The sequence below is a fragment of the Homo sapiens genome, chromosome 5, assembly GCF_000001405.40.
Source record: "Homo sapiens chromosome 5, GRCh38.p14 Primary Assembly".
NCBI classification, from domain to species: Eukaryota; Metazoa; Chordata; class Mammalia; order Primates; family Hominidae; genus Homo; species Homo sapiens.
Window position 1 is genome coordinate 159914189 of NC_000005.10, and position 17853 is coordinate 159932041.

At 45.5% G+C, this 17853-nt stretch overlaps 1 protein-coding gene across 8 annotated transcripts in view, besides 4 other annotated features; it reads left to right on the forward strand.

Moving 5' to 3' along the window:
* ADRA1B (adrenoceptor alpha 1B) overlaps nt 1-17853 on the forward strand; it is a 124120-nt gene that overhangs the window by 49103 nt on the left and 57164 nt on the right. For 4 of the 8 annotated variants that reach the window (XM_006714821.4, NM_000679.4, XM_005265819.3 and 1 more), the window contains exon 1: nt 2294-3666. In XM_006714821.4, coding sequence (XP_006714884.1) covers nt 2718-3666 — 949 coding nt within the window. In that variant the 5' untranslated portion in view covers nt 2294-2717. Of the gene's footprint in view, nt 1-1930; nt 1993-2293; nt 3667-11300; nt 11409-12014; nt 12319-17853 lie in introns of those variants that run through there. The other 4 variants (XM_047416776.1, XM_011534435.2, XM_011534438.3 and 1 more) reach the window with 3 other exon arrangements.
* Nucleotides 2128-2187: a silencer, noted in NCBI's record as "silent region_16574". NCBI's record gives its function as "represses an Ori minimal core promoter by ATAC-STARR-seq in GM12878 lymphoblastoid cells {active_cell/tissue: GM12878}" and the evidence as "EXISTENCE:reporter gene assay evidence [ECO:0000049][PMID:35858748]".
* Nucleotides 2251-2867: an enhancer, noted in NCBI's record as "H3K4me1 hESC enhancer chr5:159343446-159344062 (GRCh37/hg19 assembly coordinates)". NCBI's record gives its function as "activates a minimal SCP1, AML or CMV promoter by ChIP-STARR-seq in naive H9 embryonic stem cells {active_cell/tissue: H9 hESC(naive)}" and the evidence as "EXISTENCE:reporter gene assay evidence [ECO:0000049][PMID:30033119]".
* Nucleotides 2868-3484: an enhancer, noted in NCBI's record as "H3K4me1 hESC enhancer chr5:159344063-159344679 (GRCh37/hg19 assembly coordinates)". NCBI's record gives its function as "activates a minimal SCP1, AML or CMV promoter by ChIP-STARR-seq in naive H9 embryonic stem cells {active_cell/tissue: H9 hESC(naive)}" and the evidence as "EXISTENCE:reporter gene assay evidence [ECO:0000049][PMID:30033119]".
* Nucleotides 14614-15113: an enhancer, noted in NCBI's record as "H3K4me1 hESC enhancer chr5:159355809-159356308 (GRCh37/hg19 assembly coordinates)". NCBI's record gives its function as "activates a minimal SCP1, AML or CMV promoter by ChIP-STARR-seq in naive H9 embryonic stem cells {active_cell/tissue: H9 hESC(naive)}" and the evidence as "EXISTENCE:reporter gene assay evidence [ECO:0000049][PMID:30033119]".

A 17853-nucleotide genomic window follows, 5' to 3' on the forward strand; every position in this document is an offset into this window, starting at 1 on the left:
AGACAGACTAGTCTGAGCCACCCAGGACCAATGACAGCCTCTCCTTTTAATAAAGACCCCTGACAGAGGGCTGCCAAGTTCTTCCAGTCTCACACCCCACTGTGTAGGTCATGAGTGGCTGCAGGAGCAGAAGGAGCACTGTCCTGTAGGCCAGGGAAACAGAGTTTCCTAACCAGCTCTGCTCCTGACCATCTTGCCAAGTCTCTTTCCCTAGTGCACCACCTCCAACACAGGAAGATAAGCAAACCAAGGTTCTGAGAGCTTCTGAAGATCTAAATCACTATAAACTTGTGAATCTCTTATTATCAAATCTTCAAATACAGCTTAGGGCAATTTAATTATAATAGAAAATAATCCATTTTCAGGACTGTCTCTACCACAGATTTCTTAACCCGAGGGAAACCCCCTGAAATTGTGTATTTTGCACATGTGTGGAGTCTGTGCACTTTGCTGGGAGTAAATTAAAACCTTCGATACGTGTATGATAACCACCTGCCTCCCTTCTCAAAAAATAAAAATAAAAAGAGGTTAAGAGCTTACCTCTAGGTTGAGAAGCTTAGATGTAAGTCATCCTGAGTGACTTCTGTTTTCCCCACCCGTGAATATCAAGTTATAACAAGTATCAAGAGCAGAAGGTGAGAAACCCAAGATGCAGGCTTGTGAACTGGAGTAAAAGAAGGTATCAGGCTTTACTTTTCAATCTCCAGCTGCCACTGCCCATTGCTCTGCCATATATTTGCTAGCCTATGACCTCAGGAATCAACTGACTCTCTCTGAACCACTGTTTCTCATCTCTCAATGAACAATGGTTATGCTTCTCTCAAAGAATTGTAAAGTCTCAAAGAAACTGAGTAAATGCATGGCTATCAGTAAGCGCTCAATTCATGGGAGTCCCTGCCCAGCACCAGTGGCTCAGGCCCCAAAATTAACTACTCAAAAGGCAGCTCCATCTATAACAGTGGTTCCATCCCCTACCTTGCCCCGGGGGAAAAGTATGACACAGTAGCTGAGTACCCAACTTTGGGAGAGACCCCACAGTTGAGTTCAGTTCCCAGCAGCTCTCCTCCATGCCTTTGTGAACTTGGGCGAACAGCTAAACTTCCCCATAATTTGGTGTCTCATCCATGAAATAGAAATGGTGAAGAGTGTATTCTTTCTCTCATGAGAGTCATGAGAAAATGCAAAAAGAACTCAGCACACTGTCTAGGACAAAATAAATGTTGGATAAATGTGAACTAACATAAAGTTCTTTGGCTTTTTCTTTCTTTCTTTCTTGGCCCATACTTTCTCTTCTAAGTACCATTCACCCACCTTTGGGAGTGCGTCCCTGTGACTGAATGTCCAACATGGATATCAGACAGAAAGGAAAAAACTCAACAAATAACCAAGATCCTCTACGTCCCTTCCCCAGGTCTCTGACCTCCCTCACCCCCACTCCCAGATAGCCAGCTAGCTTCCTCCCTCAATTCCCTTCATGTTTCCTCAAATATCACTTCAGTGACATCCCAAGCACCCACTTAACATTTCAAATCCACCCCACAAACACCCCACTGCATTTCCCCCTCCTTACTTTATTTTCAGCCTAACACCTGTCATCACATTACACACCTCATCATTTGCTTATTTAGTATACTGTCTGTCTTCTGTCGGGAGAAGCTACGCTCCTATAGGGCAGGAGTCCGTCTATTTTGTTCAGTTGCTATGTTCACAGCGCCCAGAGCCAGGGCAGAGAGTGGAGACTCCGTAAGAATCGGCTGAATAAATGAGTGAATGCCTGAGCGAATGAAAGGATGAAGAGAAGCCAGATTTTACTGGGGCCAAAGAGTTTGCACGGGGCGAGGGGAGCCAGATGAAGGATGAGGGCTGGCCTCAGATCCGACTCAAGTCCCTCCCACCTGCCCAATCCTAGAATTCTCTTTCCCTCTTTTAGGTGCTGGACAAGTTGCATATCCCGTTAAATCCGGGGCCCACTCCGGGAGCCCCCTATTAAAGGTAAGCAGCCCCCAACCCACCTTTGACACGGAAGAGTGACTAGCGGGGAAAATAACCCCAGCGGGCCGCCTAGGGGTGGGTGACCCGCGATCTCCACGCCCAGGTCCCGCCCTCGCGGCCCCTGCCCCCGCCCCGCCCCCCGCAGAGGGCGCGCCCTGGGAGCGGCGGGGGACGCGGCTGGCTTCCCGGCTTGCGGGGTGGCGGCGTCGGGGCTGCGGGCGCCTTGGCTGGACCCGCATTGCCCCCTAGTGCCGCGCGGAGTCAGGGCGCCGGGCTCCCCCGCCTGATGTCACCGCCGTGCAGTCAGCCCAGAAGCGGCTCATTGAAAGCAGACCCTCTTCGGCGCTCGCTGGGCGGAGGACGCGCCGCGGTCCGCAGACCCGAGCGAGCTGGGCACCGCCGGGCGCCCCCGGCCCTGCCGCCCCCTCCTCCCCGCCGCTCCCCCGCGAGCCCGGCCAGGCGCGCCTGACGTGGACCATTAAACTTGGAGCTGCCGCCTCGTCCCCTCTCCTCCTCCTCCTCCCTCTGACAGGCGAGCGAGCGACTCGGTGCAGGCAGGAGACGTGCTGCCGGGCTGGGCTGCCCGGGGGAGATGACTCCTCGCCAGGAGGGCGCCTCTGGGAAGAAGACCACGGGGGAAGCAAAGTTTCAGGGCAGCTGAGGAGCCTTCGCCGCAGCCCTTCCGAGCCCAATCATCCCCCTGGCTATGGAGGGCGGACTCTAAGATGAATCCCGACCTGGACACCGGCCACAACACATCAGCACCTGCCCACTGGGGAGAGTTGAAAAATGCCAACTTCACTGGCCCCAACCAGACCTCGAGCAACTCCACACTGCCCCAGCTGGACATCACCAGGGCCATCTCTGTGGGCCTGGTGCTGGGCGCCTTCATCCTCTTTGCCATCGTGGGCAACATCCTAGTCATCTTGTCTGTGGCCTGCAACCGGCACCTGCGGACGCCCACCAACTACTTCATTGTCAACCTGGCCATGGCCGACCTGCTGTTGAGCTTCACCGTCCTGCCCTTCTCAGCGGCCCTAGAGGTGCTCGGCTACTGGGTGCTGGGGCGGATCTTCTGTGACATCTGGGCAGCCGTGGATGTCCTGTGCTGCACAGCGTCCATTCTGAGCCTGTGCGCCATCTCCATCGATCGCTACATCGGGGTGCGCTACTCTCTGCAGTATCCCACGCTGGTCACCCGGAGGAAGGCCATCTTGGCGCTGCTCAGTGTCTGGGTCTTGTCCACCGTCATCTCCATCGGGCCTCTCCTTGGGTGGAAGGAGCCGGCACCCAACGATGACAAGGAGTGCGGGGTCACCGAAGAACCCTTCTATGCCCTCTTCTCCTCTCTGGGCTCCTTCTACATCCCTCTGGCGGTCATTCTAGTCATGTACTGCCGTGTCTATATAGTGGCCAAGAGAACCACCAAGAACCTAGAGGCAGGAGTCATGAAGGAGATGTCCAACTCCAAGGAGCTGACCCTGAGGATCCATTCCAAGAACTTTCACGAGGACACCCTTAGCAGTACCAAGGCCAAGGGCCACAACCCCAGGAGTTCCATAGCTGTCAAACTTTTTAAGTTCTCCAGGGAAAAGAAAGCAGCTAAGACGTTGGGCATTGTGGTCGGTATGTTCATCTTGTGCTGGCTACCCTTCTTCATCGCTCTACCGCTTGGTAAGTTGGGGACTAGCAGCAGGGGGACTGGGCATTTTTGGACCTTGGGTTTACTGATGAGCTTACTCTAAAGTTTTTTGTGGGTTTTGTTTCTTATGCAGTCTGTGCGTGTTCGGAGATTGAATAATATTGTTTGTTCTGCAAAGGGTTTGCAGATTGGGGAGCTGGCTAAAAACCAACTCAGGTGTTAGTAGAACACGCTAAGGCACTAGCTTCTGGAAATAGAACCAGGGAAGGAAAATCTGGTATGAGGAATGACTCACTCAACAGCCTCGGTTTAATAATTAAAAAGGATATTCACTGGGCTTGAATATCACACCGGCGTTATTTCAGTAGTAATGATGTGTCGGCTAAGGCAGCGTCACTAATGCAGCATACAAAATAGTTTGTAGTTACTGCAGACGCGGCATTTGGGAAGCAGGGAGGCAGCTCGTACACAGAAAGGCAGCATTCATTCAGCATTTCCAGGGCTAGAGCAGAAGCCACGCTTCTCAAGAGCTTTGCAGAGGCTGCATTCTCTCCCTCCCCTCTTCACTGACAGCTATCACCCAGATATACTACGTTCATTATCCGTTAATAAGAGCATTTTACAGCCACACAGCCCCAACCAGCCTTTAAGTTATTGAAAGCTTGAGATGTGAAAGAGAAGATGACTAGAGGGTCACACATTTTTAGTTTTTACCCAAAAATGTTTCTAACTCTAGTGATTTATGGAATGCCCAGAATCAAATTATAGTTGTCCCTCATCTCAGCTGACAGAGACCAAATCCTGGTAAGATGGAATTCAGTGCGTCCTCCCCCTCTTATGAAAACATGTTCGTCTTCTTTTTGTTTGGTGGTCCTACTAACTGAATTGTTCAAAAGGCTACCTGATGTTTTCTAAGGAAGAAGCCAAGGTCTGGTTAGCAGGTAAACCTAAAGGGGGGCATCTGTCACATGCTGTCCACATGGCCTGGGGATCCCTTGTCCTTCCTCTGAGGCACTGATCTGCTTTGATTCCTTCTCCTATCCCTGGGGGACACTACAGAAAATGAATGGAGGGAGTTTATCATGACACAGTCATGTGCCATGATATCAGGAGAGGTAACAGCTGCTATACTGCGGACCACATATGCCTGCAATCACACCGGAGTCTCAGGTCAGACCCAAATATAACCAAATCCCTCAAACAGCTATAAATTCTGAAGGCACACTGCTTTCAAGAGAAAAATGCAAACAGAAAGGAAGCAAACAGATATCGAGTTTCCATTTAAAAAGAAAGAAAAAGATTTTCAAAAGCCGTCTAACCTTTTCTCCATGTCATCTTTTCTAAAGCAGGCCTGCAGGCTAATGCCTTTCAGAAATATTTTCAATGGTTAGTGTTAAGCAGAAAGGGTTTGAAAAAGTTCTACTCCCCAGGCGTGATCACATACCATTGCAGGGAAGCTTGCTTTTCTTTCCCAAGGTCTCAGGGTTCTTTTGCAGGCTTGTTCGGTTTACAGTGGATGACAGTTCACACTGCATTGGGTCATTACAAAGATCATGGTTGTACATGGAGCTGATGGAGGTGATTTGGCCTCTTATTAGCCATATGACCTTGGCCAAATGACCACTCCTGTATGAGCCTCAGTTTCTTCGTCTACAAAACAGGGCTGATTAATATTTGCTCCATGGAGTTTGCATTAATGTATAGGAAGGACTTAGCACAGTATCTGGTGTATAGCAGATGCTCAATGAAAGTTAGCTATGAGCAGTACAAACCAAACCCCAATCTCCCCTTCGGTATAACTGTGTCTTTTCTCCTTCTCTACACATTTGCCAATCCCACACCTGTTACTAAAGTCTTGGAAGAGAATTGAGTCTTTCTTCCTTTGCCCCTGGCCTCCAGCCTGCAGAGGCTGTGACCAGAGCATGCTCAGGAAGGAGAAGGCCTCAGCAGGATGCAGGAATGGATCAAAGGTGCAGGCTTTGGCTTTTAGGGGCAGGGGAAATAGCTCCAAACAGGTAAGGAGGCTTCCAGCATATTCAAATGGGAAGAACACGGCTCTGGTGATCAGGAGCAACAGAGTTCCCATTTGAGCTTTGCCATCAATTAGCTCTGTGGCTCTAGGCTTGCTGCTTTGCTTCTCTAGGCTTCAGGCCTCACACCTGGAGAACGAGGAGGTTGAATTAGATTAAGGGATCTCAAACTTTGAGAACTATCAGAATCACTTGTGAAACTTCATAAACAATGGTAGCTGCCTGGGCCGAACCCCCAGCAAATAGGATTCAGTAAGTCAGAAGGATACCAGGAATCTGCAGGTATAATCAGCCCACCAGGTGATTCTGAAGAGGTAGTCCACAGACCAGGCTTTGAGAATCACTGGCCAGAAAATTTCTCAGTTTCCTTCAGGCCCAGCACCCTGGAAGCCAGGGTTTTAAATGCTGCCAATCTCAGACCTTTCCCAGCCACATCGTAGTGTGAGATGATGTGGCTTCTCTCTGGGTCTTGCTCTTCAAGTCATCAAGCCCACCCTCACTTTCTTCTTACTCACATTACCCCCATCGTCTCTCTCCTTTCTGTCTGTGCCTTTCTGAGACTTTGTCCCCCTAGCATCTCAGGTCCTGAGCTTCCACACAATAAAAAGTGAGAGGTTCTTGCCACCTTGATGCTATCTTGTTTCTCTTCTCCTTGCGATGAAAACTTTCCGACTATCATGCGACGATCTCCCAGAGATCTTCCAGTGATTTGTCCCTGAGCCGACCCCATCAACATCCTTCTTCCCTGAAAACCTAACAGATAATGTGGGGAATGTGGACTCTAGGACTTGAGTTTGAGATGGGCTTCAAAAAGTACTCAAGAGCTTCAAACAAAGAAGGTACTTAATTACTGTTTTCTTAATGATTCAGGAAGAGCATTCCAGCAAAATAGAGATGTGAGTTTCTACTTTCTCTGAGTTGAAATAACACCCAAGCAAAAGCAGCATGATATAGAACAATAACTTCTTTGGAATCTGAAGAAGGTTCCAAATTCTAAATTTTCCGTGAAAACTTTTTCACTCATAAGGGGAGGAAGCAGATGTGGGGGAGGACTGTGTTTGGCAAAGGGAGAAGTGCAGGTAGGAGCAACTTCCAATTGGTGATAGACTTTCAGGTGCCAGGATGGCACAAGATTTCCATAGCTGTGTTTGTTTTCTCCGTGGGAGAGAAGGGTTGGGATCTCTCCTGGGAAAGAGGGAAAATAGCTGTGCCCCCTACAGGATCCTGTTCAGGGGCCCCATTTGTTTTCCTTCATCTCTTATTTTTATTTCTGGAAGCAGGGTTGGGCTGCCTGCAGAGCAGGGCCTCTTGTCTCCTCCAGAGCTCTCCCCACCTGGGACATCCTCTCCAATGTCCTCCCCACCCTTTCCCTGTGGCCTCAGACCAAGTTGGACCAGGGACCAGTGCTCACTTACTCAGGAGCAGGAATGGACTCCACCAAACAAGGACCTCTTTATTTGGCCCCTGGAATCAGGCCAGGGAGGGACAGGAAATAATTGGAATAGAATATAGCAGTATTTCTTACTCCATGAGCCATTTGCAAGATGTCAGAGAATCTTCAGCTGCCCAGCATTAAAATGAAGGCTAACTTCCAGCCCACCTAGGGAAGGCCTTGTCAGGGTCTCAAGAAGTGGCTGAGCTATTGAGGATGTGCATTGCAGCAGTGGGGGAAATTGGGGGATGCAGGGCCGGTAGCAGGAAGTGCTCCGCAGCCAACCAGTAGCTGGGCTTAGTGAGTTGTTTAGAAAACACTGGAACCTTGCCTTGCTCCAAATCTTTCTTCTGTCTTTTAAAATGCTGGAAGGCACCAGGAAGCCATTATTGAACTAACTGCTTTCCCCTCCAAATAAATGAAGGTCAATTTCAAAGAAACAGTTTTGTTCTCCATAGTATTGGAACAAAATAGAAATCCCTCTCTCCATTGATTTGATCCTCCAGCCCTTTCATTCAAATGGGGGCTGACGAATTTCTACCTTCCACAAGCACAAGGTTCTCAGAGATGACTCAAGACAGAGCCACCCCGACAAACACACATTAATCTTCCAGCTCTGAGATTTCAAAACACAGGGATTTGAGTTGCCCACAAATAAATCAATTGGTTTGAGTACTTGGCAAGGGGGAAGTTTTTACACACGGGAATCCTTCCTGGAAGAGGGAAATCCTACTAAAGTAAAACCCATTTGACCATGTATTAAATCACTAATAAGGACTTCCTAAAGCATCTACTACATGCCAGGCACTGTACCAGACACTGGGTTATCAAGCCAAAAACAAACATGGCCCCTGATTGAAGAAGGCTTACAGCCTGGTGAGATTGTATTTGTTATTGGATACATACCATGTACCAGACATTCTGCTAGGCCTCCTACAGACGTTATCTCATTAATCCTCACAGCTACTCTAACAGGCAAAAGTAACTGCTCCCTTTTTATGGATGAATATACTGAAGCTCAGAGAGGTAAAACTTCTGGTCCAAGGTCACACATCAAGTAAGTGATAGGGCCAAAAGTTGAATCCAAGTCCGTCAGAACAGACCCATACCTGTTCCAGCACACCAAGGAAATGTCTGGCCCTTTTGCTGTCTGATAGCAACCTGTTTTCATAGCACATGTACTCCAGGAAACCCAGAACCACCCTGTCAAGAACTAGTAATGATGCTTCTGTTGCAAAATCTGCCTTTCTTCCACTGCCTGCTCACTTCTGAAAAAATAACCAACCTATGACATATCAGGGCAGGTCATCCATGTTCTAGCTCAGGGCTCGATGTTCTCCTGTACTGTGTATGACAAGGGTCTCTCAGGATTGGGCATTTTGTCAGCCACCCCAACCAAAAGAAAAAGTGGGAGGGACCTTGCCCTTCTAGTGATGTGGGTTCACATCTTTAATCATTCATCCATTCACTGAATAAATATGTATCTATTCAGTGGGTACTGTGTCCAGGCATTATACTGACGATATAATGGTGAGCGAAATACTTATATTTCATAGAATTTGGCTCTAGTAGGGAACACAGAGATGTTGAAAAACACACATGCACAAACAAACATGAACATAAACTGCAACAAGTGACTTGAAGAAAAGGAGTGTGATGCTGCTAGAATTCTAAAACAGGGGTTAGTACATCATAGGTCCCTGAGGCAGTGACATTTAAGTGGAACCCTCAACGGTTTGGAGAAGCTAATTCAGTGAAGGGGGCTGATAGAGGAAGAAAAGTGTGGGCAGGAGGAGGGGCACACTTGAAAGTCCTGAGGCCAGAGAGAGTGGAGAACTAACAGAGCCCAGAGAATTAGAAGGGAGGCAGGTGCGTGTCAAGGCCAGAGGCGTGGGCAGAGGCCGGGCCATGCAAGGGCTTTTAGGCCACATTAAGGACTTTAGATTTTTATCTTAAGTGTGTTGGTCACTACAGCAGGGTTCGAAGCAGATGAAAGATACTGTCTGAATCGTGTCTTTTAAAAGTGACTGCAGCCACTGTGTGGAGCATACACTTCAGACGAGACAGGTAGGAGGCTTTGCAGTGGCAGTGAGAGATGATGATGACCTAGACTAGGCAGGGGCAGTGGAGGTGGAGAAGCAGACAGCTTCAAGACCTGGGGATGGGTTGGTGACGGCATAAGAGAGTCCGCAAGAGAGGAAATGTGTTCAGAATAACCCTGGGGTTTCTAAGTAGATGGAGGTACCATTTGTTGAGAAGGGGAACAGAGTGGGAAGGGGGAGCCTGAACACAGCAAACAAGATACCTCCCAAGATTTTCCTCTGAATACATCATGCGAGGAACAATCTGCCAGACACTCTCATAAGTCAAGTAGACAGAATGTCCAACCCAAAAGCCAGGGGCTGTGAGCAACAGCAAATCTAGCTGCTCATCAGAAACATCTGGAGGAGGGGGCTGTTTTTAAAAGAATAGATCCTTGGACCCCATTGTAGACCTCTTGCATCAGATTCTCTCCTTGTAGTGCCAAGAATCTTAATTTTAACAAGTTTCCCAGGCGACTCTTATGCAGCCAGCACCACACAAGTCCTCCCCATGCCTAGAAACCCCTGGAAAGCTTTGCAGAGCAAGCATCGTCATCCCTGTCTTTACAGTGAGGGAACTAGAGTTCAGAGAGGTTCAGTACCTTGCCCAAGATCACACAGTTAGTAAATGGTAGAGTCTATCAAACACCACATTTGGCACTCAATAAACATTCATTATATTATTCCTATTGTTAGTACACTTCTTCTCCAACATTTGTCTGAGATCTGGCACCCAGAGATTTTACTGGCTTATGACGAATCAGAAAGTTAGGAAAATGCTGTGTTCTTTTAAAAACTAAATGTATTTCATGTAAATGATTCTTTTTCTTCTAAAGACTGTCTTTTCTATTTGGGGACACTGAAATAGCACTTCTTTGATGGAACGATGGTAATTAGTGGCAATAGTGTGTGAATGTCTCTGTGCGTGTGTATGTGTGTGTTGATATCCTACTTGGCAAAATTAAAAGTTAGTACCCTATGTCAATCCCTTTCAGAAATTTTTTTCAAACTTTACTGAGTCTCCTAAAGTCTTGGAATCACAGAAGACACCATGGCGGCTAGACACAACAAATATTTGTGAGGAAAACGGGAGGGAGGAAGGAAAGAAGTGACGGCAAGAAAGAAGGAAGGAGGGCTGGGTGAATGAGTTAGCCTCAGCTTTGATGTGAGATTCGGAGATCTGGGGCAGAGGGGCAGGGAGGGGAAGAATGATGTGTGAAGAGCTATGCCTGTCAGGTCTGACAGGATGACGGGGCCAGTCGTGGTGGCACCCACCCCTGCTGGAGCAAAACGGCTCACAGAAATGCCAGCAGGTGCGTGTGTAGCTGCAGTGCCATCACGGATGCATCTATTAAGATATGTTATGCAGGAAATGCCTTTACCTGAGTGTGTGTGTGGCTAGTAAAAATAACTGATGTCTGCTGGGCAGCACTGGAAATTGCTTTCTGCCATATCTGCCGAATGTTTCTGCAGTCACTGTGCTTCCTAACCACATTTGATAATAGTAATACTAATAGCTACCATTTATTAGGTCTCATCGAGTGCCAGGCTTACTGTGCTCTCCATGCTGGCTAGGAGTTCTTTCTCTGTATTCCCTCATTTATACCTGTCCACAGGATTGTGAAGTGGGCACTGGTATTGTCCTCATTTTACAGATGAGGAAACAGAAGCTCAGAGAGATTGAGTGATTTGCCTCAGGTTACCCAGCTGATCAATGACAGAACATGGACTCTAATGCAGGCAGTCAGATGGGTTCATCATTGGAGCTCTCCTAGAGGTGGGGCTCTGAGCCAGATTTAAGAAAGTGCAGGAAGGAAACTGGGGAAGCCAGAGTTTATTCTAGAAGGAGGAAAGAAAAAGCATGTGGCTGCCCGTCATTCAGCAACCAAGAGGCACCATATCCTGGTGAGACCATAAAGAAGATAAAAATAATTGGGTCGTTCCTCTAGGAAGATAAGTCAAAATTTCTCTTGTATTATTGATGCTTTAGAAGACTTTTTTCAGCTTCACAACTTATTATTGGTAATGTCACATACGGTTTTCAGATTTTTATCAAATTTGGAGAAACACATAAAATTTAGAGGACTTTTTTACAGTTTAGTTTCTGGCTGCATACATTTCAGACCCGGATTCACCACCACCCACCCACCTACGTGTGGTGCCAGCACCATGGGGACACTCTTCCATCATGAATCTGCCTCTGGTCCTGCCTCTTGATGCCACAAGATCAGGTGAGTTGGCATCGTGGGCGAGAGAGTATTTCTAGAAGCCGTTTTTTCACTTTGGAGTTACTGTGGCTAGTGGTGACCTAGCTATACAGAAAGAAAAGACTGTAAACCACATACGTATATTCAACAGAACCCACACAAAATCTGTCTTAACTCAACTCTTAGCTGGTTCCCAAAAACGTCCATGGCCCCTGTATTACCACCTGCATACGGAGAAATAGGAATAATATTTAAATAAGGGGAATAACCAATTGCATTAATAAACCTTACTTCTGAAAACTTTGTGTGGCCATGGTGGGGGCATTGCAGGGCCCCTGCTCAGGTCGTGTAGGGTCCCATGAAGAGGGAAGCCCTAAGGCTACTCTCCTCAGGGCTCTCTCCAGCAACCTCGTGACTGCTCTTTCTCCTCTACCTACTGTGGACGTCTAAGCAGTGACCAACTCTCTGCCGAACATGGGTGCTCACACAAGCTGAATGAATGAATGAATGAGTAGTACAGAGCCTAGCAGAAGAATTAAGAGTGCACTCAATTGAAGTAAAATTATTTGCCACTTCCCAAATACACTTTGCATTTTCTTTTTTTTGTGCATTTGTTCCCTCTCCCACCAGTGTGTTTCTCATACCCTCTGAATATCCAGTTCCTGCTCGTCTGTAAACATGCGGTTCTGCTGACACCTTTCTCGCGAAGTCTTCCTGGATCCCACCCTTTTCCCCATCAGTAATCACTCCCTTTATCCCTGGTTTATGGTGCTTGTCATGTTTCTCTCTGGGGATAAATATGGATGTGCACAACTTTTGCAGCACTGCCAGGCTGCAAACCTTTGCAGGGTCCAAGTTCAAATTGTCTTCTTGTCCTTCGTGCCCAGGGATGTGTACATAGTAAACTCAATAAAAATAGCAATGACCAATAGGATTCATACAGCGTGTACCAGACTTCTTCTAGTATTTGAACCTCCCACGGCCCACCAGATAGGTATTCATGCTCTGCCCATTTTATAAATAAGGAAATGGGGCCAGCCATGGTGGCTCAAACCTGTAATCCCAGCACTTTGGGAGGCCGAGGCGGGCGGATCACTTGAGGTCGGGAGTTCGAGACCAGGCTGGCCAACATGGTGAAACCCTGTCACTACTAAAAACACAAAAATTAGCCGGGCGTGGTAGCGGGCACCTGTAATCCCAGCTACTTGGGAGGCTGAGGGAGGAGAATCACTTGAACCTGGGAGGTGGAGGTTACAGTGAGCCAAGATTGCACCACTGCACTTCAGCCTGGCAGACAGAGCAAAACTCTGTCTCAAAAATATTAAATTAAATTAAATTAATAAGTAAACAAATAAGGAAATGGGCTCAGGGGGGTTAAGTGGCTTGTCTCCTTCCTCAAAACTACCACAAGTTCATTAAAAAGAGACTGTCATAGACTGGTATTCTAAAACCAAAATGCCAATCTGGGCCTGGTCATGAAGCCGGTGAAGCGAGATTGGCTAGGTCAAGACCCGTGTGGACACAAGGTAGGATCTTGAAAATGGATGGCCTCTTCATTCTTTATCAAAAGGCTGCCGTTCCACCTGCCTCTGGGGGAGATTGTCCCATTGCCAATTGGCCCTTACATTCCCTCACCCTCTAGCCATGGTCACCTGCCTCTCACCTCTGAGAGGGATATGGTCAGAGTTGATCCCTGCAGAAGCAGGAAAAGAGGAAACTATTCCAGTGACTTTATAGCAGAGCCAGATAGAGACCTCTAAAGGCCTAAGGTATTGAAAAGGGAATAATAAAATTATAAATTAAAACATGCACACACACACACACACACACACACACACACACGTATGCATAGAACCCTAAAAAAAATGTAAGGAAGGCCAACAATATTCTGATTCTTTCCATGGAGGTAACTTTGATTTCTTTAATATCAGATTATTTCACCAAAAATACAGGTGCCCCAGCTTTGCGAATGCTCTGAAGACACACTGGGTCTTTCTGTTGGGTAATATATCACTGTTTTCTAATAGGGTGACCATATGTCCCATTTCACTGAGATGGTCTCCTTTTATGCCTATTATCAAAGCATAATTATACTTATTATAATAACCCTTTCTTATTTTCAAAAGTGTCTCAATTTGAACAATAAAAATGTCTCCCTGTTTTAAAACCTGGAATAAGGGTGTTTATAGTGCAGACGTCCAATAGTACACCAGTTTCACACCAGAGCCTCAGATGGGGAGGAAAGAGAAACTGGCACTAACAGCCTCAACAGTCCAGGGAAAGATTCATGATGAGAGAGCAAAGCCATCATCCGTTTAAAAAGGAAAAATGTGACTTACTATGTGTGTATTTCGTGGGAAGCAGGAGTTTTGCAAATGTGGGCTTGAAATTTTTAAATAAAGTGTTCATTTATTTTACTTGCCGCGATGACATGAGTGAGTGGCTGAGCTAAGATTTGAATCTATGGCTGGCCAGCCCTAAATACTTAGGGAATAAATGATTAAATGAAGGAATGGATCAATTTCAGCACAAGCTAAAAGGTGCCATCTGAATGATGGGTGTCTTCAGAATGCAGAGGAGACAGAAAGAAGAGTGGGCTGAAATAAGATTTGGGGGAGGAAAAGGAAAGTGAGCTGTGTTTTAAGGACTTGTAAGGCTGGAATCAGTGCAGGGGGAGGGCCATCTTCACCCCACCCATCATCACCCCTCCTGGCATGACAGCACCATGAGTCAGCTCAGGATACAGTAGAATCTGTCCACATTGGCAGGCTCTGCTCTTACGACTCTATTGACAGCACACTCCTGGCCACACTCACCCGCAGCTCATCTGACCACCCTTTGAACACTCAAGTGCCCCTCTCTGGTGCGAGCACAGGAATTGTGCTATAAAAGTTGCACCAACGAGCAGTTCAGTTTAAAGTGTTCAGAAACAGAATGTTCTAGCACATGTAAGTGGCCCATTCCTCCTAGAGCCCCATTTAACTTTTTCCAAGTGTGTCTGCCTACAGTGTCTTGCTCCCCGCTAAGCTTTCTCTCTCCTGTTGGGATGAATTTGGGGCTTGGTTTTGCACAAGAATTTTTTGAAATTCTTCAAGACAGAGTTTCCTGCCAGGCTAATGTGCATTGCTTAGAGGCTGAGCTTAGCACCCTGGCCGTGCCCCAAAAGGAGGTTAAAATGGGACCAAGGGCAAGCCGGGCTCACTGTCATTCGCAGGCGTCAGCCCCAGGGCTCACACCACCAGCACTGGGCCGGGCGGAGATCCAGGGAGGCAGCTGGTTGGGGAGGAGGAGGATCCACCAACTGGAACAGCAACAAAAAATTGCATCTCCGATTCATATATTCAGGCCATTAATCAGCCCCCGGCATCAAGAGGAAGCAGTAGGGTCCCTTCTCCCAGCTTCTAGGGACACTCCCCACAGCGCCCATTTGTGATTCCTTGTCCCCAGCCCTTTAGCATTTACCTTAACACCAAGGTTCCTTGGCTCCATTGTTTCGCGGACCCCTTTGGCAATCTGATGAAGCCCCTTCTCACAGTCAACACATCAAATAAAAGACACAGGATTTCAAAGAAAACCAATTATATTGAAATACAGTTATAATGTTGAAAAAACAAATTTATTATAGAGTAAAAAAAGTCCTTTAACATATTAAATAAACAAGATCTAGCAGCAAGTCAAATAAATAACTACTATAATTTTGAAGTACTGACAAGTGGAAATATTTCAAGATATCTGCAACAAATGTAATGTTATATCACAGATCTGATTTCTATTGGTGACAAATCCTGCTGACTCTAGTGTGGCTGCTTGCCCACTTTCCTATCAAAGGAAATGCAAACTTTCAGCCAAAGTTTAGTTTGGGTTTTTTTTGGTTTTTGTATTTTTTTTTTTTTTAAAAAGAGGGTTTTTTTTCTCACCCAAGTTTATGGACCCTCTAACTCCAGAATAAAAACCCTGCCTCGGGACATTACAAAGATGTACTTCAGGATATGAGATTTTCTATACTTTTTTTCTTTACAATGTTTTGTAAAGAATGCCTGTTTTTAGACTTAGGACCACAGGGAACTTGGACCGTGCCATCACGCCTTGTAACTATTTTGCATGATTACTTGTAGCAATTTTTAAAAATCAACTAGTTTATTTTTTAATGATGCATAGATTCTTATTTGAATCAGAAAAAAAAAATGAAAAAATTATTCTGCTGTTACCTACCCCACATTCACACCCAACACTCTCAGTATTTTTTCTCCTGAAGTAAACATTGTTACCAGATTGTGTATGCTTTCCAAAATAGTCTATTTATTTGTAAGCATACATATCCACATGCGTATATGTATGTTTGAGTGTTTTTGCATGCAGAATGTGTGTGTTTTCACTCTGTTTATTTTGATTCGTGGTGTCATTTTAGAAACACTTCAGTGAAAGTTTCATTTTTCACTCAACAGCATAGCATATCTTAGACATAGTTCTGTGTCAGAATGCATAGAGTTACTGCTGGTTTTCATGGCTGCATAATAATCCATTTTACAAAGTGTCCTATTTTACTTACCAATTTCCCAGTTGATTGACATTTAGGTTATTTTTGGTCTTTTACTACAAACAATGTTGGATGAATACTCTTGTATATATGTCTGTGCCCACATATTCAGGATAAATTCCTAAAAATGTAGTTGCTGGGGCAAGGAAGATTTGGTATTTTAGGTTTAACCTGATTATGCGTAATAAGAAATTTAAACTACAGTAAAATGTAAAGTGGTGTTAAAACAAATAGGTTAGGCCGGGCGCGGTGGCTCATGCCTGTAATCCCAACACTTTGGGAGGCTGAGGCAGGTGGATCACCTGAGGTCAGGAGTTCAAGACAAGACTTCCAACATGGCAAAACCCCTTCTCTACTAAAAATATAAAAATTAGCCAGAGAATCGCTTGTACGCAGGAGGCGGAGGTTGCAGTGAGCTGAGATCACACCACTGCACTCCAGCCTGGGTGACAGGGTGAGGCTCCATCTCAAAAACAAACAAACAAACAAAAAAAATAGGTTAGATATACATCTACTAATCTGTTAGGAGGATTGCTCATAATATCTAAGTAAAAAAGCAAGTTATAGAGTAATGTCTAACCCAACTTTTAAAAGCTATTTATTAGTTTAGTTACCTCAAGGGATACGATGGAGTGAGGAGGAGTAGATTATTAGCTTTTTTATAACCTCTGTATTATTTCACATGGTGCAATAAGCAAATACTCTATTTGTGATTAAGAACATCAAATTAAGAAAATGTGATAGAATACAAATTGGGTTTCAGTAGAATTATGGTGGGGACTATTAAACATTTTTATAATTTTGGAAGAAAAACTATCAATGGCCAAAAAAGAAGATTGTTGTTCTTAGTCATTTTCAATCTAATTTAACATATATATAATATATATATTTTATAATATTTATTATATATATTTAATAATATATATATTATATATATTTAATATATCTCCCGCTCTGTGATTACCAGCCCCGGAACACTTAGAAATTGCTTTGGCCCATGCTGGGAGCAGTGACTCATGCCTGTAATCCCAGCAATTTGAGAGGCTGAAGCAGGAGGATCACTTGAGCCCAGGAGTTCGAGACCAATCTGGGCAACATAGGGAGACCCCCCATCTCTACAAATAAAAAATAAAAATTAGCCTCATGTGGTAGCACAGGCCTGTAGTCCCAGCTACTAGGGAGGCTGAGTGGGGAGGATCCCTTGAGCCCAGGAGGTCAAGGGTACAATGAGCCATAACCACACTACTGCACTCAAGCCTGGGCAACAGAGTAAGACCCTATCTCAAAAAAAAAAAAAAAATGAAGAAATGACTTCAGCCCTTTCCTCTGCTGGTTACAGCCCTGCTCATTCCCCCAGTTCAAAATCATGCTGTCAAGTTGTTGATTTTTTATTCGTTTCAAAATGAGAAGAATTTTCTCTTTCTTGGTAGCAAAAGGTAATTTATACGTAACAGCAAAATATAAAAAAGAAAGGAAAAATCATCCATAATCATATCACCTGCCTCAGTCCATTCAGGCTGCTGTAACCAAATACCTTAGACTAGGTAATTTATAATAAATGACAGAATTTATTGCTCACAGTTCTGGAGGCTCGGAAGTCCAAGATCAAGGAGCAAGAACATTCAGTGTCTGGTGAGGACCTGCCCATAGATGGTGACTTCTATGTGTCCTCACATGGCAGAAGGGGCAAACAGGCTCTCGAATGCCTCTTTTATAAGTACACTGATCCCATTTATCAAAGTTCTGCCCTGGTGACCTACTTGCCTTTCACATGACCCACTTACCAACAACACTGCACTGGGGATTAAGTTTCAACATATTAATTTTGGGAGACACAAACATTCAGACCATAGCACCATCGATATAACCATGTTTTAGTATTTGCCTATGCAACTTTGCAGAATTTTCTGTGTGTGTTGTTGCGTGTATTAA